The 22,315-nt window shown below is 51.1% G+C and overlaps 1 protein-coding gene across 11 annotated transcripts in view, besides 2 other annotated features; it reads right to left on the bottom strand.

The window, feature by feature from the left end:
* The window catches only part of NPLOC4 (NPL4 homolog, ubiquitin recognition factor), an 80,228-nt gene that overhangs the window by 2,885 nt on the left and 55,028 nt on the right, over nt 1-22,315 (bottom strand). For 3 of the 11 annotated variants that reach the window (XM_011524980.2, XM_047436368.1, NM_001438810.1), the window contains 5 exons: nt 12,248-12,319; nt 9,247-9,342; nt 7,648-7,764; nt 5,736-5,838; nt 4,152-4,210 (listed from right to left, as the gene is read on the bottom strand). In XM_011524980.2, coding sequence (XP_011523282.1) covers nt 4,152-4,210; nt 5,736-5,838; nt 7,648-7,764; nt 9,247-9,342; nt 12,248-12,319 — 447 coding nt within the window. Of the gene's footprint in view, nt 1-1,113; nt 5,839-6,701; nt 6,834-7,647; nt 7,765-9,246; nt 9,343-12,247; nt 12,320-17,588; nt 17,665-22,315 lie in introns of those variants that run through there. The other 8 variants (NM_017921.4, NM_001369698.1, NR_130139.1 and 5 more) reach the window with 7 other exon arrangements.
* Nucleotides 1,220-1,319: an enhancer, noted in NCBI's record as "active region_12972". NCBI's record gives its function as "activates an Ori minimal core promoter by ATAC-STARR-seq in GM12878 lymphoblastoid cells {active_cell/tissue: GM12878}" and the evidence as "EXISTENCE:reporter gene assay evidence [ECO:0000049][PMID:35858748]".
* Nucleotides 10,797-11,005: a silencer, noted in NCBI's record as "fragment chr17:79537592-79537800 (GRCh37/hg19 assembly coordinates)". NCBI's record gives its function as "represses an EF-1alpha promoter that drives an FKBP-Casp9 reporter gene in an ReSE screen in phorbol 12-myristate 13-acetate-treated (for megakaryocytic differentiation) K562 erythroleukemia cells {active_cell/tissue: K562(+PMA)}" and the evidence as "EXISTENCE:reporter gene assay evidence [ECO:0000049][PMID:32094911]".

Below are 22,315 nucleotides of genomic sequence, written 5' to 3' on the forward strand. Positions count from 1 at the left end.
TCACCCAGGCTGGAGTGCAGTGGCACGATCTCGGCTCACTGCAACCTCCACCTCCCGGGTTCAAGCGGTTTTCCTGCCTCAGCCTCCCAAGTAGCTGGGATTACAGGCATGAACCACAATGCCTGGCTAATTTTATCTATTTTTTGGTAGAACTAGGGTTTCACCATGTTGGCCAGGCTGGTCTCGAACTCCTGACCTCAGGTGATCCACCCACCTTGGCCTCCCAAAGTGCTGGGATTATAGGTATGAGCCACCATGCCCAGCCTCCAGTTTTGAGCTAATATGAACAAAGTTGCCAGGATCATTCTTCTACAATTTCTTTGTGGACCTGTGTTTTTATTTCTCTTGGATAAAAACAAAGAGTGAGGCTGGGTGCAGTGGGTCACGCCTGTAATCCCAGCACTTTGGGAGGCCGAGGCGGGTGGATCACTTGAAGTCAGGAGTTTGAGACCAGCCTGGCCAACATGGCGAAACCCGGTCTCTACTAAAAATAATTAGCCAGGCGTGGTGGTAGACACCTGCCGTTCCGGCTACTCAGGAGGCTGAGGAAGGAGAATCCCATGAACCCGGGAGGGGAAGCCTGCAGTGAGCCGAGACCCTGCCTCTTCACTCCAGCCTGGGCGACACAGCGAGACTCCATCTCAAAAACAAACAACAGGCCGGGCGCGGTGGCTCATGCCTGTAATCCCAGCACTTTGGGAGGCTGAGGTGGGCAGATCACAAATTCAAGAGATGGAGACCATCCTGGCTAACATGGTGAAACCCCGTCTCTACTAAAAATGCAAAAATTACCTGGGGGTGGTGGTGCGCACCTGTAATCCCAGCTACTAGGAAGGCTGAGGAAGGAGAATGGCGTGAACCTGGGAGGCGGAGGTTGCAGTGAACCGAGGTTGCAGTAAGCCGAGATCTCAAAACAAACAAACAAACAAACAACAACAACAAAAAACCTACCTAGGAATGAATCTGCCGGCCCACAGGGTAATGAATTGTGTGCTGAACTTTCTAAGACCCTGAGACACAGTTCTCGCGAGGGTGGCACGGTTTTGCCTCCCACTCGCAAGGTACGAGAGTCCCAGCTGCTTCACATCTTCACTCACACTTGACATTGTCGCGTTTTTTTCATTTCAGCCACACTGATGAATGTGTAACGGCTTCTCATGTTTTAATTTGCATTTCCCTGATGACTAATGATAGTGACTGTTCCTGCATCTCCTTTTTTTTGTTGTTGCCGAGGCTGGAGTGCAATGGCGCAATCTCGGCTCGCTGCAACCTCTGCCTCCTGGGTTCAAGCGATTCTCCTACCTCAGCCTCCCAAGTAGCTAGGATTACAGGCACGTGCCACCACACCTGGCTAATTTTTTTTATTTTTAGTAGAGATGGGTTTTCACCATGTTGGCCTGGCTGTCTCGAACTCCTGACCTCAAATGATCCACCGCCTCGGCCTCCCAAAGTGCTGGGATTACAGGCGTGAGCTACCATGCCCGACCTGCATTTCCTTTTGTGAAACGTTTCACCCTCCGCCCAGCTTCTTCTTCTGCTTTCTGTTTGATTAACAACAGGCAGAGTTATTTTTAAGTTTCAGATAGAAGTCATGTTGTGTGTATGTACTGCTAATACTGCGTCCCCCATTGGTGCCTTTTCATGTTTCTAACAGTGCCCTGTGATGAGCACAAGTGTTTTGTTTAGATAAATTTATTTATCAATTTACCTATTTTTATGCCAGTGTTTTTCTGTGTTCTACCCCAAGGTCCTGCATCCTGCCTAAAAGAATCTTTGCGTACCCCAAGGCCCTGAAGAGATTCAACTTAATAACTGTTTTACAGTTTTTATTTTTTTAAGACAGGGTATTGCTCTGTCATTCAGGCTGGAGTGGTATAATCATGGCTCACTGTGACCTCGACCTCCTGACTCATGGGATCCTCCCATTTCAGCCTCCCCAGAAGCTGGGATTATAGGCGTGGACCACTCACCATGCCCAGCTAATTCTTTTTTTTTTAATATTGTTTTTTTGTACAGACGGGGCTTCACTATGCTGTGTGGGCTGGTCTCACACTTCTGGGCTACAGTGTCCTCCAGCTTTGGCCTCCTAGAGTGTTAGGATTATAGCTATGAGACATCATGCCCAGCCTGCTTCATAGTTTTACCTTTTACCATTAGGCCTATGACCCATCCTGAGCTGATCTTTGTGTCTTGTGTATACACGTCTGTAATCCCAGCACTTTGGGAGACCGAGGCAGGTGGATCACCTGAGGTCAGGAGTTCCAGACCAGCCTGACCAACATGGTGAAACCCCATCTCTACTAAAAATATAAAAATTAGCCAGGCGTGGGTGCACGCCTGTAGTCCCAGCTACTCGGGAGGCTGAGGCAGGAGTATCACTTGAACCCAGGACGTGGAGGTTGCAGTAAGTGGAGATCATGAGATTGCACTGCAGCCTGGGTGACAGGGTGAGATTCCGTCTCAAAACAAAACAAAACAACCCATGAGGGCCGGGCGCGGTGGCTCACACCTATAATCCCAGCACTTTGGGAAGCCGAGGTGGGTGGATCACTTGAGGTCAGGAGTTTGAGACCAGCCTGGCCAACATGGAGAAACCCTGTCTCTACTAAAACTAAAAAAATTAGCTGGGTGTGGTGGCAGCCACCTGTAATTCCAGCTACTTAGGAGGCAGAGGCTGGACAATGGCTTGAACCCGGGAGGTGGAGGCTGCAGTGAGCTGAGATCACACTACTGCACTCCAGCCTGGGCAACAGAACAAGACTTTGTCTCAAAACAAACAAACAAAAAACCCATGAAAAAATGCCCAACATCACTAATCATCAGAGATGCAAATTAAAACCACAGTGAGATACCAGTCAGAACTTACACCAGTCAGAACTGCCTATTATTAAAGAGTTGGCTGGACATGGTGGCTTACCACTGCAATCTCAGCACTGAGGCGGGAGGATCGCTTGGGCCCAAGAGTTCAAGACCAGCCTGGGCAACATAGTGAGACCTCATCTCTACAACAAATTTAAAAAATCAGCCAGGGATGGTGGCACATGCTTGTAGTCCCAGCTGCTCAGGAGGCTGAGGCGGGAGGATTGTTTGAGCCTGGGGAGGTCAAGGTGAGACTGACCTCAAATGCCACTGCACTTCAGCCTGGGTGACAGAGTGAGAACCTGTCTCAAAAAAAAAAGGAGGGGGGAAAAAAAAAAGGTCAGGTGCAGTGGCTCACAGCTGTAATCTCAGCACTTTGGGAACCAAGGCAGGAAGATCACTTGAGCCTAGGAGTTTGAGACCAGCCTGGGCAACATGGCAAGACCACATCTTTTTTTTTTTTTTGAGACAGAGTCTTGCTCTGTCGCCCAGGCTGGAGTACAGTGGCACGATCTCAGCTCACTACAACCTACGCTTCCTGGGTCAAGTGATTCTCCTGCCTCAGCCTCCTGAGTAGCTGGGATTACAGGCGCTCGCCACCATGCCCAGCTAATTTTTGTAGTTTTAACAGAAATGGGGTTTCACCATGTTGGCCAGGATGGTCTCAATCCCTTGACGTTGTGATCCACCTGCCTCAGCCTCCCAAAGTGCTGGGATTACAGGTGTGAGCCAGCCACCGGGCCCGGCCAACCCTATCTCTTAAAGAAAAAAAAAAAACACCAACCAAAAACATTAGTTGGGTGTAGTGGCTCATGTTTATACTCCTAGGTACTCCGAAAGCTGATGCAGGAGGATCGCTTGAGCTCAGGAATTGAAGGCTGTAGTGAGCTATGATCACTCCACTGCACTCCAGCCTAGGCAACAGAGTGAAACCCTGTCTCTAAAAGGGAAACAAAAAAGAAAAAAAAAAAAAAGACTGGTGTCATTGTTAGAACTGCATCAAAGGGCTGGGTGCAGTGGCTCCCAGGTATAATCTCAGGACTTTGTGAGGCTGAGGTGCAAGGAATGCTTGAGGCCAAAGTTTGAGACCAGTCTGGGCAACACAGTGAGACCTCATTGATACAAAAATATTAAAAAATTTTGCAGCCATAAAAAGGAATGAAATCATGTCCTTTGCAGCAACATGGATGCAGTTGAAGGCCATTATTCTAAGCAAACTAATGCAGGAACAGCAAACCAAATACTACATGTTTTCATTTATAAGTGGGAGCTAAACATGGGTACTCACGTACATAAAGATGGCAACGCCAGGTGTGGTGGTACACATCTGTAATCCCAGCTACTCGGGAGGCTGAGGGAGGGGAATTGCTTCAACCCAGGAGGCAGAGTTTGCAGTGAGCTAAGATTGCGCCACTGCACTCCAGCCTGGGAGACAGGGTGAGGCTCCAGCTCAAAACACACACACACACACACACACACACACACACACAAAGAGCAGGGCGGGCTGAAAAACTATTAGGTACTATGTGTAGTACCTGGGTGATGTGATCAATCATACCCCAACCTCAGCATCAGGCAATATACCCAGGTGACAAACCTGCACATGTACCCTGTGAATCTAAAATAAGTTAAAATTATTTTTAAAAAACAAACAAATAAAAAGCAACAACAAAGCCCCAAGAATTAGCTGGGTGTGGTGTTGCAAGCCTGTGGTCCCAGTTACTCAGCAGGCTGAAGCAGAAAGATCACTTGAGCCTGGAGTTTGAGGCTGCAGTGAGTTACGATTGTGCAACTGCACTCCAGCCTCGGCAATAGAGTGAGACCCTGTCTCTACAAAAATAAAAATAATAAACAAAGAATTGTGTGAAAAGAAAACCTCGGCTGGGCGTGGTGGCTCACACCTGTAATCCCAACACTCTGGGAGGCAGAGGCAAGCAGATCACAAGGTCAGGAGTTCGAGACCAGCCTGGCTAACATGGTGAAACCCTGGCTCTACTAAGAATACAAAAATTATCCAGGCATGGTGGCACATGCCTGTAGTCCCAGCTACTCAGGAGGCTGAGGCAGGAGAATCGTTTGAACCCAGGAGGTGGAGGTTGCAGTGAGGCAAGATCACGCCACCACACTCCAGCCTGGGTGACAAGAGCCAAACTCCGTCTCAAAAAAAAAAAAAAAAACAGGAAATGGTATAAAGGTGTTTGATGTGTCTTTTGAAGGCTGTGTTAACAGAAGGATTCTAGCATTTGTCCAGGGCCGTAGCTCCCGGGCACTCTGGTGCTCTCAGCTGCAGGGACTCAGGGCACTCGGGCTGCACGAGGCACCACGGTGCGTGAGGAGTCCCTGCAGCAATGCTGACAGAAGGTTCTCACGAGTGGGGAATCGTTCAGGACCTGGTGACTGAGGGTCCGGAAGACACGCAATGCCTGCGGTCCGTTCCGTAGTGTCCACCAGCAACAACATGGATGCTGCAGGCTTCTCCTCCTTACAGCTTTAAGCACTAAAGGGAAATTCTCAAGGAGACCAAAAGGTCCCACGCTTCCGGCGCTTCCATAAAGTTTCTGATTCTCTTAAGACAATGATGTTCAAAGTGCTCCTAGGATGCCTGGAGATTAGTATCTCTGATGTACAGGTTTATAAAATTTACAGGGCTGTGTACCTAAGACGTACGGCCTGGACAACATGTCTGCTCCATCACCGGAGCCTGCCACGTGCCTGGCAGGGAGGCCGAGTCTCTACTCGTTGCATTGCCGATGGCACCTGCCAGGATGCAGCTGGGTGCGGAATCCAGGGCACCACCGGCAGTGGGGAGCTGTGCAGAGTGGGCTGCTCTCCGGCCCCAGCCACGGGGTGCCGGGGCAGGGGGTGGGGGTACTCACTGCACAGCTGCTCGATGGTGGCCCACTGCTCAGACCTCTTCCATGTCTGGGCGAGCTCCTCATTTCTGGTCCGCACGGCCTCCAGCAGCAAGCTGATGCTGTCCTACAAGAAGCCAAAAGGAAGGTTCCTCTTCGCTGTGCCTAAGGTGAGCAGCTTCCTGCTAGAACAGGTTTCTTTCTCCCCAACATCAAGACGTATTTCTGAGGACATTTTAAAAATCTTACAGGCTATCACTATAAAATGCAAACTGCCACAACTTACATCTATAAACGCAAGTGCTAAATTGAACTAGAATTTAAATTCTTCCCAAATAGGCCCAAGCGGGCATCTGTGCCTCTGCCTTGTGCTGACGGTGCTCAACAGCCCGGAGGATAGGAGCTCATGCCTCTCGTCCTGGAGGCTGGGATGGAGGGCGGAAGTCTTGACTGTGAGACGTGTCCTCCTCCCTCACATTTCATCCCTCTGCCTCTTTCTCCTCTCGTGTCTGGAAAAATGCACTCTCTATCCTAGCCTTCCGAGTCAAACTGCAGGGGATTAATGCATTAAGGATGGGCGCAGTGGCTCACGCCTGTAATCCCAACACTTTCAGAGGCAGAGGCAGACAGATCACGAGGTCAGGAGTTTGAGACCAGCCTGGCAAACGTGGCGAAACCCCGTCTCTACTAAAAATACAACAATTAGACAGGCGTGGTTGCGGGCACCTGTAATCCCAGCTACTCGGGAGGCTGAGGCGGGAGAATCGCTTGAACCCAGAAGGCGGAGGTTGCAGTAAGCCAAGATTGCGCCAATGCACTCCGGTCTGGGCAACAGAGCGAGACTCCGTCTTAAAAAAAAATAATTCATATATGAGAAACGGATAAAGCCTTCAGGAGCTCTCAGTACCTCCAGAGAATGTCTTCCAACAGATGACTGCAAAAATAGTGCAGTATACTAGCAAGGTGGCTCTGGTGTAGAGGGAGCCTCACCTTTCACCACCTGTCCAGACAGATGGGCAGCAGCTGAACCTCGGAGCAGGAGGTGCAGTTCCCTGGGCTGACTAGGGAAGGCACAGGCAGGGAAGAGGCACAGGGTGCCTGATGTCAAATACCCGAGTGAGTGGTTTTGAGACAAAATACAGACACAAAATAAACTAGCAGGATACAAGAACAGCTATAGGCTTCCTGACAGAGAAAGGCCGGGGGAGGAGGAGCCTCTCTATTCTGTCTCCTTCAGGGAAAAGTTCTGAGTCAGTGGCGGAGCAGCTCAGAAAGAATTTGCTCCTTTCTCTTTGGCATTTCCTGTTGGCTTGAACAGTGAAGAAAAAGCCAAAGTCGGACCCCTACACACGGCAAGAACCTCCTGGGGGCTGCTGCCCACTGGCCCCCACTACCCAGAGCAGCCACTTCTGCAAAGCACTCGCCCTCTTCTCCCCCAACGGTGTCTCTTAAAAATGCCAACTGTGCAGCTGTGAGCTTGGGGTCTGGAAGCTGGCCAAGCCTTCTGGGCCAAGGCAATAAAACCAGAGTTGATTTAGGAGGAGGGGAGATATGAGTAAAAAGCAGAGGCTGTGACTCTGAAACTGTTAGAACAGGAATTTTTTAAACTGTCTAACTCTAATGCTGGAGGCAGAGCTAAATCACCTCTGCTTCCCATTCGATTGTAACAGATGAAACCGTACTTCCTCACAGAGGTGCAGACACTCAATGGAAATGCTAAAGGTGAAAAAATTAATCTTTCTATCAACAAGCTTCTTGTGAAAAGCTGCTGCCTACACTCTGCCCATAGGACAAATGAGGGGGACAACCTGTGACCCCGAGCTTTGACCCAGTTTCCCAATCATGCTCTGGTCTGGGAGGAAAGAAAGCAAGACACAGGCGTCTCTTTGCAGCCAAAGCCCACTTGCTCAAGTGGACACCACACTTGGACACGCACCTGCAGAGGCATAACTTCATTGGTGACCAGGAACAGCAAGAGGTGGAAATCTGAGATGGTATCCAAGAACACAGATGAGGTATTCTGAGACAAATAGGTGGCCAAGCTATGGAAGTCCTAGAGGAATGGGAATAAACATGAATGTTCCATACAGTTCCCCAGTGCCAGACCCCGAAACAGAGCTGTTTCCTACTAAGACGCAACTCAATACACTGAATGCTGAGACACCTCTCCCTCTGCCTCTGCAACCACGAACAGGGTCCAAGAAAGAGGAGCAGGCAGCTGCAAAGCAAGCTCTTGCTCTCTTCTCCCAAGAAGATGCTCTCAGCACACCTGACTACCCAGATGTGCAAGGAGACATGCTTATAAAGCTGACTCAGACTGGCCAGGTGTGGAGGCTAACACAGTAATTCCAGCACTTTTTAGGAGGCCGAGGCAGGCAGGTGGTCAGGAGTTCGAGACCAGTCTGGCCAACATGGCGAAACCCCGTCTCTACTAAAAATACAAAAAAAATTACCCAGGCTTGGTGGCGCGCACCTATAATCCCAGCTACTCAGGAGGCTGAAGCAGAAGAATCGCTTGAACCCAGGAGGTGGAGGTTGTAGTGAGCCAAGATCGCACCACTGCACTCCAGCCTGGGTGATAGAGTGAGACTCTGTCTTCCAAAAAAAAAAAAAAAAAAAAAAAAAGGCTGACTCAGACAGAGACACAAACATGGAAATGCGCCCTGGTCCCCCGGTGGAGAGTGGGCTGCGGGAGGGGCCTGGGGCCCCCTTCACGGCAGGGAGACAGGTCTGACTTTTCCTGTCGAGCTGTATTCTCCATCTAGGGCAGCAAGAGGGAGGAATGTGCAGGGCAGCCGTGATGCAGCACGGACATCTTCAGCAGAACCAAACACAGAGCTTCAAGAGTGCACCCCAATAACTGGCTTTGCACCTCTGTGAGCACCCCAAGTCCCCTGGGCGGATGGGCACTGAGGGGATCAAAGCATAGAAGAAGCTTTGTCAGCCACTGAAGAAAACCTCATTATAGACATTCTTTGACCACCTTCTGAAATGTCTGTTAGCAAGTTATGATTTAAGAACAACCATGTGTACACAGCCTGTCTACACAGTATGCAGGCGTGACAGCAAATCGGACCTGGCCTGATCTGCCAGTGAGAGCAGAGGCCAACACGGGAGCCACGCTAAGCAGCAGATCAACACTACACACGGGAAAGCCGAGGCCAGGCCGAGAGGGGCCACACAGCCCCAAGGTGCCTAAGAAGGGCAGCAGGTGACCAGGCAGGGGCCAGGCCAAACCAACAGTGACGAGGCTGCTGGCAGAAGACACAAAGCAACACATTTGGGAAAATTACGAGGTCCACTGAAGATGTGGCCAGTCAGGACGTCAGGGGATTAGCCTTTGTGGCCGTCCATCACCTAGCCATGGGAAGGGCGTCCACGTGACCAGCAGTGCCCCACAGTAGGCCCTAGCTGGCCTGTCACAAGAATGAATCGGGAGCATTTGAAAGCTTGATGTTTTCTGGAAAAACAATACTGACACTAGATAACAATCAGCAGTTACCTTAAATTATGTTTCTAAAGACAAAGAGCTCACCTGTGTCTCACCCAATACATCCCGGTTTTCAATAGGAAATGGATTTTGCGAAATAGAAAAAGTGTAAACTGGATCCTTGGGGAAAGTTGTTGTGATCTAATGAAGAAAAACACAAACCCATGATAAATGAGGCTGAAAATGGTGTGGCCGACTCCCAGCCAGCCCAGAGCATCTCCCAGAGCCCAAATTAACGACTCCTAGCAATTCTGAGAATGTTCTACAAGCTCTCCATCAAAGGGAACCGTTATCTATTAGTGTCATCTCTAAACGAACACTTGGAAACTCCGCCATCCTGGAGACAAACTACACCATATCCGGGCAGCCTCCGGCCTGTGCACCGGCCTCGACGTCGGACAAAAAGGGCACTGGGACTCCCCTCGTGGCACAGCTTCCCTTCAGAGTCACACAGGTTCTCTCCCTCTGCTATGGAGGAACGAAAGGCTGGTTTGGCCCCTTGGCCAGGTGACAGGAAAGGAACGGAAGGGCCAGGAGGCCGCCCCAGGAGCTGACTTTGCTCAAGAGAGATTCGTGTCATTGGATTCGGAGGGCAAATGAGCAATCAGCCAGCTTTCAAGACACAAAGCACCCTTCAGCAGCTCACTAAGCCCCTTCTGAATGCTGGGAGCCACTCCACGGAGCTGTGGGCTTTTCCAGGCAGGGGTGAATGTAAGGCCCTTGAGGAACACAGGGTTCAGCTCTTCTCTCTCCCTCAGAGCTGATACCCAAAGGCCAGCTAAGTCCTTCAGTCCTTCACTGGCTCAGACAGGCCTTAATGACAACAGAGGGCACTTTGCACCTAAGATATAATCAATAGATGCTACAGGGACAGTGGTAAATGTGCAAGAATCAATAGAAATACCACTTTTATTCTTCGTGACAGACACCCCTCCCCAAAGCAGCACCGAGTTGAGTTGATGCTGCTTTTCTCTGCAACACAACAGCAGCAGCAGAGGTCACACCTCTTCCAGATTTAGGGGAACTATTCTGGTTCCTTTGGGACTATTTCTAAAGAATGAGTGTGGTTCTGGTCTGTTTTCTGCATCAGCAAAGGCAGTGAGTTGTTGAGCTAGCTGGCCCAGGATTTGCTGTGCCAGCGCCAGCCGCTGTGGAAGGACAGCTGAGCCACCAGCAGCATCTCTGGCCTGAGCTGGCCCTTCATGGGCAAGCGGCGGGGTGGGTCATGAAGACTCGGGCCGCGGTGCCACGTGTCGGCTACATGGCCTCGTCAGTTAGGGATCCTGGGCCTCACTTTACTCTTCCTCAGGATGAAGATGATCGGAGTACTCGCCTCCTGGGTGCCCAGCACGGGGCTGGTACACATAGTGTTGGTACACACAGTGCTGGGTCCCAGCTGAAGACAGGGGAGGTGCTGACCTCCTGCAGAGACAAAAGCCTGGCCTGCTCAGGCGCGTCCCTTGGGAAGGCCTAGAAATGAAGAAGGCGGCACCCCCAGAACACGTGCTAGTGAGTGAGCTAGTGGGACTGACGGGGGCTCTTGCTGGCCTTGTAACTGGCCCTTGGAGGGGAACAGAACCAAAGTCCACACAGCCCATCCCAGATGTCCCAAGGAAGGGCATCAGCTCCCATCTTACACTGAAGCCATTTCCCTACCCTACCCATCGTCTATCAGCCAGATGATGCCCCCAGAACCCACAAAGAAACCCCAGTAACACTGGCTGGTGCCTTTTCCTGCCTGCCCAGCCATCCCATCCCAAGGTTTAAGAACCTTGGCTGAGGCCAGCGCCTGTGGCCCAGGGCTGGGCATGGAGCTTGACACACCTCTCTGGGCACCTGCTCTCAAGGACTCCCCATGCCTCACTTCCACAGGGTCAAGGAGCCTGGGCATCACAGAGCAGAATGCTCTCCCACAAACAAGTACTTCTGAAAAACTGCACTAAGGCAAAAACTTAACTTCCTTTATAAAAGAAGAGGAAAGAAGTGGGGAGGCTGCTTGGGGTAGAAGACCTGAGAAAGCTGGTTTTAAATCATGCCTGCTCCTCCTGGGTGCATGCTCCATCAATCTGTTTTCATCTTAATTACACCCTAGGTAGTCTAAAAACCAGATGCCTTCACGGCCTAGGTAATAAATATGTTCTCGGGAGCTGTCAGTTGGAATGGTGCATCGATGGGCTTGGCTCGTGGGGACCTGCTGTTCCGAATGCAATGATATTTTACTGCCTGAATCACGTGCCCATCCAATTTCAAATGCAGCCTGAATAGATCCTGGCGTGGCAGCAGCATAGGAAATGAGCCGCCTCCCGTCCGCTTTGGACAGAGCTCCGGTGGGGCTGATGCACTGGCTTCTGCAAAGGCTCATCCTGCCATCCTTGCTGCCCTGTGGCCAATGGTACAGCCATGTCTCCATGACCATAAAATGCCTCCAAAAAGGAGCTGAGACACAGGGAAGATGTGGAAGAGCCAGGGGCCTTTGTGGCTCCTGGAGTTCCACCCAGTAAACCACGCTGAGCCCTCACTCAAGAACACTGAGTTACAGGTGTGTCCCCTGGGGACCACCCTGGACGGAGTGACCCAGACACACTGTGGGCTGTGGCAGCTGTGCTGGGGCTAGGGCAAGCACCTGCACGTGCAGGACAGCTGACAGCCACACACCAAGCACAGCACATCTGGACAAGACTGCTTGATGCTCCGGTGACTGGAGACCCAAGCAATGGGGGTTCGCTGCCTTCCAGAGGCTGCCTAGCCTGGGGTCAGTGGTCCTTTGTACTTTAGTATGGGGACAGTTAACCCCTAGGTTGACGTCAAGGAAATAAAAACCTGAGACTAAAACAAAAAGCCCTTAAAACTGTGAGCATTTCAGCAACACCGCATGCTCAGTGATTCTACAACCACCTCCTGGGTGCCTGTTCTGGGGTGGGCACTGCTCAAGGCAGAGGGTGCCTTAAATTGCAGCCTCCTCCCTTGAGCAGCCACCACCCAGCAGTCCCACCTACAAGGCGCCCAATGGGTCCACCTGCCCAAGCTGTGCATGGGGGGCACTTACGTCTATGATGAGATACTCCACAGGCAGGGGCCGGGCCAGCTGGGTGATCTCGTTGCCAAACTTGTCTACGTCCTGCAATAGTCAGAGGGGAACAGCGGTGAGCAAAGACGATCAGTAGTAATGATTTTCCTTTCACATGCTTGTCTCACCTTTTATTTAATTAATTAATTTATTTATTTATTTATTTTTTGAGACAGAGTCTTGTGCTGTCGCCCAGGCTGGAATGCAGTGGCGTGATCTCCACTCACTGCAAGCTCCGCCTCCCAGGTTCACACCATTCTCCTGCCTCAGCCTCCCAAGTAGCTGGGACTACAGGCGCCCGCCACCACGCCCGGCTAATTTTTTTTGTATTTTTTAGTAGAGACAGGGTTTCACTGTGTTTGCCAGGATGGTCTCGATCTCCTGACCTCGTGATCCACCCGCCTCAGCCCCCCAAAGTGCTGGGATTACAGGCGTGAGCCACCGCGTCCGGCCTTCACTTTTTAAATTACTTCAAATCTTATTGAAGTGTATGGATAGCAGAAAGGAAAACGTGCATATTTTTGCAGTAAAACCACCTTCCACCATTTCTTGGAGCTCATTATAACCACAGCCTGAAAAAGCAGTCGTGCTCTCGGGCACTGGGACTCCCCACTGGGAGAGCACATCAAATGCCTCCTCTCCACCCATGGCGCTTGGCCTGGCACTCAGGCGCGATCTGCGACAGGCAGAAGGGTCTGCGTTCCCCTCAGGTTGGACCTGTGCCCTGTCTATCCTCCAAAAGCACATGAATCCTCACAGTCTGAATGCTAACTCTTAGAATCTTACTCACACCTCTGAAAACCCGACTTTCCAGAAACCGAGTACTTGGACATTAATAAAATAAAGGCATGCACAAATGAGCGCACACACAAATATGAAGACACGGGAACCCCACACCAATCTGTCAAAGTCTCAACTTGTTTTGCTTTGTCAGATGCACAGAACATAAAGTTTAATTATGGGGAAAAACGGCCAGCATATGTTCATTAATCATAAAATGACAATTAGATCTGATTTATGTCAAACATGCTGAGTTCAAACAGAGCTCCAGAAATAAATTCATAAGAACCAAAGCTTTTCATTAAAGATTCTGCAAGAGGGGATCACATTTTCTATCTAAATCATCACTTAACATTATATAAATCATTCATTAAGTCATATATAAATTATACATCCATAATTTCCAATTATAGGGCCTTACATAAAAGTTTACGTTTATTGGAGCTCTCAGACCCGAAATGATTGCCAAGCAAATCTCCCTGAGGTGTGCAGGGTGACAGGAGGCCACCCCCATCACAACCACACCTTCCTGGGGATGTCAGGAAGCCCCGCTGTCTTCTGAGACAATCATCACAAGCTGTTCCCAAGTCAAACCAAGTCCATTACCCTAATGAGAAGCCCCAGGCCCCCATTTGGCCCTTGGCCCTGTTTCTTGCTTGAAAATTAAATTCTGGCTGGTCCGAAGGTGGTGAGTTACCTCAGATGATTGTTAACAGTCAGTTACAGATCCAACTCCTTGTTCTACTCTCTCCCCTTTCCTCACTATTGTACTTGACTAGTCTTAAAAAATAATAAAAAATTTTTAAATTCAATTTCTGGCCTGAAATGTGTCTCAGTTCTCCATACCCTCACACCTTTTCTCTACTCACAGCTAGAGAGCTGCCAACAAGAACTTGCCTCTACCCTCCCAGAGAAAAATGGTCCAAATAGATCCCACTGATGTTTCCAGGAGGGCAGGAGAATGAACCTGGACTCTATTTCCATTTCACGTATTGCTCCCCGCCCCATCAAAGGCTACATTCCTGCAAATACACAGCTCTGCTCTGTTTGCCTTCCTTGGACACTGAAATGACTTTCCACCGACTTGGGTGAGGGTCGTGTGTCCTCCTTCCACGTGACGAGTGGCTGCCAGTCAGGATGGGCTTCCGCATTCTGCGCTCTGCTGGCTGTGATGGGGGCGCTAAAGACACAGGGCCTACTGCACGGGGTCCTGGGGCCCCAAAAGAGGTGGTTTCTCAATGGAGATTTGGTAGGAGGCAAAAATCAAATCCAGTCAAACTAAATCACCATTTCCAAAAATACAGGCTTGCCCCTACAAGAAATAAACCTGCAACAACTCACACATAATTAGCCCATCTGGAATTCATCTTCAAATCTAATTAAGCTCTAATATGCAGAAACATTTTTCCAGCACCTGTTCACTTTAATCTCCCCCTCTAGGGATTTTTCTTGTTAAATGCCCCTCTCTCTTTTTTGTGTCATGCTATTCTCTTTCAAACTTAACTACCCAACTGCATCTTTTCCACTCCCCAAGAAAATAAAGGTGTTGTATCCCCCTTTCCTCCCTGGGGAAACAGGTCACTTCTACCTCTCCCCCAAGCCTTCACTCAGATGTTTTCGCCAGCCAATCCCTAGGCCTACACACCATTTTAAAAGGCAATTACTTTTTATGGGCCTTAGAAAATGTCAGTTGGAATGCGCTGGGAGGAGGTTGTCTTAATTCTAAGTTTGGCAGCCGTCAAAGTGTCAGCAGCTTTATCTCCACCTGGAGCGAGGCACCAGGAGGTCGGAGGTTGTGGCCCCAACACCTCGCCACCCGCCAGAGGCCACTTCTGGAAGCAGTGGCGCCAAGGTCTTGACACCAAGAGAAATCCAGGGATCGATGTCTTTGTTAGCTCAAAAGCAATGGGGATGCCCAGGGCACAGTGGCTCATGCCTGTAATCCCAGCGCTTTGGGAGGCCGAGGTGGGCAGACGGCTTGAGGTCGGGAGTTTGAGACCAGACTGGACAACGTGGTGAAACTCCGTCTCTACAAGACTGTCTCCAAACAAACAAACAAACACACACACACACACACACACACAAACACAAAAGCATGTGGGCTTTATGCCAGGACAACAGTGAATTCCATTGATTGAATGGCATCAACCCTGCTTTAGAAAAGGTAAATGAAATCCTGAATGTGCTGCTTTTCTAAGAACTGGCAAGAAGGGGCACAAATGACACCAGGATCTGAGCCGCCACAGGATAACTCAGAAAAAACAAAGCTTTCAGACACTCGGTTACTTTTCTTTTTTTTTGAGAGGGAGTCTCGCTCTGTCGCCCAGGCTGGAGTGCAGTGGCGCGGTCTCGGCTCACTGCAAGCTCCGCCTCCCGGGTTCAAGCCATTCTCCTGCCTCAGCCTCCCGAGTAGCTGGGACTACAGGTGCCCGCCACCACGCCCGGCTAATTTTTTTCTATTTTTTAGTAGAGACGGGGTTTCACCGTGTTAGCCAGGATGGTCTCGATCTCCTGACCTCATGATCCACCCGCCTTGGCCTCCCAAAGTGCTGGGACTACAGGCGTGAGCCACAGCGCCCAGCTGACACTTGGTTTCTTAAAAGCACCACTTAGAAAATAGTCCAGTCCGTGTGCAACGACTGGATGCACACAGAACTGGCAGCTGGCATTTCTCAGGGGCCAGCTGTGTGCACAGAGCCACTTCGTCCTCACAAACACACTGGTCACAGGCACTACTGCTGTCCAAGACAGGAAGGGTTACAAAGATGAGTGAACCTCCTAAAGCAATCGGCAAGGACAGCTGGACAGCTGTGTAGAGACTGGGCCCCCCACACTACGTGCGCAGGCTCCCCGCCTCCCAAGTCAGTGCCGGTGCTGCAGGGCCAGGGCACACGCAGGCCTCCCTCCTGCCTTTGGGGAACCTTGAAGTTGAGGCTCGGACCCCAACAGCCGTCTCACACTGAGTAAGACTCTCCCACCTCCACCGCAAGGGAAGATGCAAAATTTTCTCTTAAGACTGGGAATATGCTATAATAAGTGATTCAGAATCTCTTCTGTCGATGGCAGTTTCTTGATTAATTGATAAACCTGCCTGAATAATGCTGGAAGCAAACACAATCTCCTATGAGTGAAAAGGCTTGTTTTAAAAAGTTGCGTGCTGCTGGGTCTTGTGCCAGCAAATACAAGTGGGTTACAGGGCTATAGCAAACAGAGCAGTTTGGTAACAACAAAGGAATAGATTGTAGGTAAGTGGCACAGAGGACGATGACCAGAAGTAAGACATGAGGAGACACAGATACCTTGTTTTACAATGAACAGTGGGACTAGGTCAACCAGGCAAACATCTAGAGAAGCACAAAAGCTAGATTCCTACCTGTACCAGTATCATGCATAAATGGATTATGGATCTCAAAATAAAATTAAATCCTAAAAGCACGGAAAGAGTATGTAGGTAGATGCATAGTTCTGGGGGAAAGAATTACAGTTGGCCGTTGCACAACGCGGGTTTGAACTGAGCAGGTCCACCTATAGGCAGACTTTTTTCAACCAAACACAGATTGAAAATACAGTATTCGAGGGCTAGGAAACTCATGTATACGGAGGTCTAACTTTACATATAAGCAGGTTGGAAGGATCCACTTTGGGGCGTGAGTGCATGTGGACTTGACTATATATGGAGGTCCTGGAACCAATCCTCTGTGTCAACTGAGGGGCAATTGTACTTCCAAAGTACGATGACAAAGGCAGAAATTACAAGAAAAAGAGTTAAGGTATCTTTGAAATCAGAAAATATTTCAGCTTCTTTGTATAAAAGACAAAGAACGAAAACCTGGCGTGTGTTTGCAACACACGACAAAGGGTTAATATACAAAGACCTCACAAATGAATGCCAAAAATGATGAATCACTTTACAAATACTTAAGTGCACACAGAGGCTACTCACAAAGAAAACAGTCAGTAAACACAGGAGACTCCCTGTGGTCAAAGAAGCACAGAGAGCGGGGTCCTGGGCCTGCCTGGTCCTTGCCAGAGTCACGGGCGCGAGGGCAAGGCTGGTCTGCAGCACCACCTGCAAGTGTCCACCCTGCCACATTCCCAGAGGAAACGTGGGAGGACACACAGACCCTTCGAGTACATAGTAAGCTTCGGCAACATAATCCTAGTTCTAGCAATTCATCCCAAGTAATTTAAAGCATGCACTAAGAATGAGTTACAGGGTCCACCAAGTGCTGTTCACAGTGCCAGATGCCAACAAACCCCACGGCCTGCTGAGTAAGCAATGCCTGGCCACAGCAAGGGGCAGTGGGTTCCTCAGAGATACCCTCTGGCCCCTCCACAGCTGGCTCCTTGAAGGAACGCTGTTCCCTTGCTGCTCCTATGTCCCCTCAGCTCCCCACGGCGCTCTGACCCGCCCCACCCCATCACTGTGTAGTCCTCGCCAGACTGCCTGTCCGCACAGCTCTCCAGACAGAGGACCCCAGCACTGTCCCTTGGCACCAGGACATCACCCTCCCACCTCTCCCAGACCCTTCTCCTTGACCTCTTTAGAGCAGCCATCCTTGGAGTTGCTCAACGCCCTCTTCTCTTCTCCCTCTGAACCACAGCTTGGCTCATCTACTTCCGGGTTAGCTCAACGCCCTCTTCTTTTCTCCCTCTGAACCACAGCTTGGCTCATCTACTTCCGGGTTAGCTCAACGCACTCTTCTCTTCTCCCTCTGAACCACGGCTTGGCTCATCTACTTCTGGGTTAATTTAGGCTTTCTCCACAGATAGTCTGAAAAGGGAACTATTGGCCTGTATCTCTTGCCTGAGCTTCCAGACCTGAGTCCTGGCAACCGTCTGTCCTGCTCCATCTTCAAACTCTGCGTGCTGGCACCTGGACTCACCATCCTCCCACACAGACCCATGGCTCTACTCTGGCACCAGTGCCAACCCTGCTCCCCAAAACCAGGAACCTGGCTTGAGCCTGTGCTCCTCTCTGCACACCTGCCAGGCCTCCAAACCTCTCAGTCCCAGCACACCATCCTTGTCCCCAAGGCCACAGGGAACTGACATGTGGCCTGGATTGCCAACACCACCAGCTTCTCACTGGGCTCCCCAACTCCAAACCGTTCCCCACACTGCAGCCCAGGATGGGTCTTCTACAGCGGGGACCTCCCCTGCCCACCCCATCCGGCTGTCAGCACCTGTCCACTGCCTCTCCTACCTGGATTTCAGCCCCACTCACTCCTCTAAACTTGCTGCCTTCTCCTGACTCAGGCTACTGGCATCCAATGCCTGGATTGTTGCAAAAGCTTCCCGCCTCCAGACCACCCCTCCTGACACCTCCAGCAGGAACATTCCAGAACTCACTTTCCATAAGTCTTTCCATGGCCTCCCACTGTCCACCACAAGCCACTCCAGCTAGACTGGCCCCGCCGGGTGCATGCTGTGCTCTCCAGGTACATAGCTTCAGCAGATTCCACTCCGCGTGGCTTCCTCTCACACACTCTAGTCTCAGCACTGTGAATGGCCACCTCGGCGCACCCTGCTCCCCAACAGGACACCTCCACAGTTTCCAAGAAGAGGGACCATGAGGGACCTGCTCACCGTGGCGCCCCAGGCCTAACACCTGACCCACGGGAAGCTCTCAACAGATAAACGGTACGACTGGTCCGTTTTCTCACTGCTATAATGAACTGCCCAAGACTGGGTAATTTATAAGAGGTTTAATTGACTCACAGTTCAGCATGGCTGGGGAGCCCTCAGGAAACTTACAAGCATGACAGGAGGGGAAGGGGAAGCAAGGCACCTTCTTCACAAGGTGGCAGGAAAGAGAAGTGCCGAGCAAAGGGGGAAGAGCCCCTTATAAATCTAACACATCTTGTGAGAATGCACTCACTATCACTGAGAACAGGATGGGGGAACCACCCCCATGATTCAATTATCTCCACCTCATCTCTCCTTGACACCTGGGGATTGTGAGTCAAGATGAGGTGTGGGTGTGGACACAAAGCCTATCCATATCACAAAGGGTGCTAGGGGGCGTCCATTTTCTTCTTACCAATCTACAATATTTAATTTTTTCATAATAAACATACATTTCATTTCATATTTAAAATGTTCCATATTTATTTATTTAGAGACAGGGTCTCACTATGTTGCCCAGGCAGGAGTGTAGTGGTGCAATCAAAGCTCACTGCAGCCTCGAACTCCTGGGCTCAAGCGATCCTCCTGCCTCAGCCTACTGAGTACCTGGGGCCACAGGTGCACACAGCATAGACTGCATGCATTACTGTTTAGCGTGGTGGCTCACGCCTGTAGTTCTAGCACTTTGGGAGGCAAGGCAGGTGGATTACTTAAGGTCAAGAGTTTGAGACCAGCCTGGCCAACATGGCAAAACCCCTCTCTACTAAAAATACAAAAAAGAAATTAGCTGGGCGTGGTGGTGGGCGCCTGTAATCCCAAGTACCTGGGAAGCTGTGGCAGGAGAACTGCTTGAACCAGGGAGGCGGAGATTGCAGTGAGCCAAGATCGTGCCATTGCACATCACCCTAGGTGACAGAGCGAGACTCCATCTCAAAAATAAATAGACTTCGAGCTGTCTGATGCATGTGGATCTTTAGATTTGAGACCCTCCTGCTGCCAGCCTCTCCCTCCTACCTGGACAACACCCCCTTCACAAGTTCCTGGTCTAAAAGGTGGTCTCCACTCCAGCCTCCCCCTTCAGCTGACCCTGTGGCTTCCTGTGAGCAAGCTGATCCCCAAACCTGCATCCCATCGCTCCTGCCAGCTCCACCCACCTCTGCCTCCCATCCTCATTGTACTGACCTGTCTCCAGATGCCCCAAAGCTGTCCCTGACACACGGACCATGCCCCTTCCTCTCTGTGTGCCAATTAGCTCCTTTGCTGGACACCAGGAAGCAGTACATGCCCATGTCAGTATTTCCCTTACGTTAATAAAAACCCAAACAAGAAAACTTCTCAATCCCACTTCCCATACTGGTGACTGTCCTTTGCTCTCCCTGGCAGTGAAACCCCCCGAAAGAGTCATGCAGCTTGCTGATGTGAGCTCACCCCCCATTCTCCTCTGTGAGCTCACCCCCCATTCTCCTCTGTGAGCTCACTCTCGGCAGCCGCTTATCTACTACTCAGCCAGGCTCATCAAAGCTCCCAACACCCCTGAGCTGCTGAAGGCAAAGCCTCCTCTCCTGACTCACCAGGGAGCTCCTTTCTTGCCTGCCTTCCAGGGCGCTATGCTCCTGCCCCTCCTCCCCAGCTCCTGCCTCCCAGTGCTCTCCACCTCATTCCCCCAAGGTGGGGTTCTCCTCAGCCATCCCCTCCAGGATGGACAACTCGGCCTCTCACCAGGCCTCAAGCACCACCCCAACACCATCTGTACCATGTGCCTCTCCCAAGCAATGCGCTCACCCCGGGTGGTGCCTCTGCACTAGCACATCGCCGACAGATCCCCAGCCTTCCAGCCTGGCCTGGACACCCTGGAGTCTGCCTGCCTCTTCTCTCGATCACACCACACACTCAACCCCCTCACTACTGCACAGCCATCTCTACTCTCTACCCTAGTCTCCTTTTCCAGCTCCGAGCCCAGCAGCCAGAGTGATCGTCTCACAGCCCCGGCACAGCCATCTCCCTTCAGCACCTTTCAGAAGCCCTCATCTCACTTCCAACCATAGATTCAGCTTCCAAGGGCCCCTCCCACCTCTACCCCAGCAGGCCACCCTGCTTATCACTCTCTGTGTGGGGAACAGGCTGCTGCCTCTGTCTGAACAATCTCCTCCAGACACCCCCAGAGCTGCTCTGCCAATTGACACCTTCTCTCCCCTCTCAGGACTCGACCCACCAGGGCACTCCAAGCTTCTCTACCCGTTCCGCTGGGGTGGCCCACCTCCCCTGCTGCAGCAGTCTCCCCGATGCAGGGAGCCCTTCTCCATTCTCCATGAACTCCAGGGCCTGGCAATTCACAGGTGTTCTCTAAACATGAGAGAATGGATGCCGTGAGAGCATCGCACAGTGAATCAGGTCAGTGCTACCAAGGGCTTGGCCACCCAAACACAACAGCTCTCGCTCCCCGCTCAGCTCTGAAGGGCCCAGGGCCAGCCTCCCATGCCCACAGCTGGGGGCCTGGGAGAGACATGGCATGGAAGTACAAAATCCCCAGTGGCCCTGGGCCAGCCCACCCGTGGGCTTATGCCCGTCAGACTATTTCCTCATGGCTGAAGGAGAAGAAAATAGAGATTTTAAAACACAGTAAGGCTGGAAGCGGTGGCTCACACCTTAATCCCAGCACTCTGGGAGGCCAAGGCGGGTGGATGACCTGAGGTCAGGAGTTTGAGACCAGCCTGGCCAACATGGCGAAACCCTGTCGCTACTAAAAATACAAAAAAATTAGCCAGGCATGGTGGCAGGTGCCTGTAATCCCAGCTACTTGGGAGGCTGAGGCAGGATTGCTTGAACCTGGGAGGCGGAGGTTGTAGTGAGCCGAGATTGGGCCACTGCATTCCAGCCTGGGCAACACAGCCAGACTCCAACGCAAAAAAAAAAAAAAAAAAAAAAAAAAAAGTTAATAAAATCACCATGTCACAAAAGAACTGAAAGCCAGCCCCTTGTCAAAGTGCCCAATTGTTACTTGTCCTCAAGAGGCTCCCTCAAACCCAATCAACCAATTCTCCCTGCCCCAGAGGAATAAGCCCTGTGGACGCCCAGACCCTTGGCATAGGTGCGAGCAGTGAGGAGACAACTGGCTCCAGCCAGAGGGGCAGCCAGTCCTCCACAGCACCAAGGCCACCTCTCCTCACTCCCCCACAACGATTACAGAAATCAGCCAGTGAAGGCAGTCCATGGGAAGAGAGTATACTCCCGGGGCGCCAGCCAGCAAGGTGGTAAAGGCACAGCTACAAAGCCAAGTCAGATTCCAGACACTAGAGCCACTGTCCCATGTCCAGAGGAGTGGGAATAAAAGGACTGGAGGCTGTGTGATCTCTGTGGCAGAAGGGTCGTAGCCTGCCACATCCTCACACATCACACAGACGCAGGAAAGAGCATCCCGAAAGCAGAGGCGCAGGAATAACTTAGACCTTCTGGGCAGAGCTAGTAGCCTCGCTATGCCCTGGATGGAGTCCCAGACCATCTCAAAATGTCTCTGGGACGTGCTGACAGCAGAGACATGCTTCCATGGTGGACCCACCACACCCTAGTGTCAGAGAGGGAACATGAGGAGGGCTCCTCTGTACCAAAGAACACCCGAGGGGCCCAGACACCACAGTGAAT

The sequence above is a fragment of the Homo sapiens genome, chromosome 17, assembly GCF_000001405.40.
Source record: "Homo sapiens chromosome 17, GRCh38.p14 Primary Assembly".
NCBI lineage: Eukaryota > Metazoa > Chordata > Mammalia > Primates > Hominidae > Homo > Homo sapiens.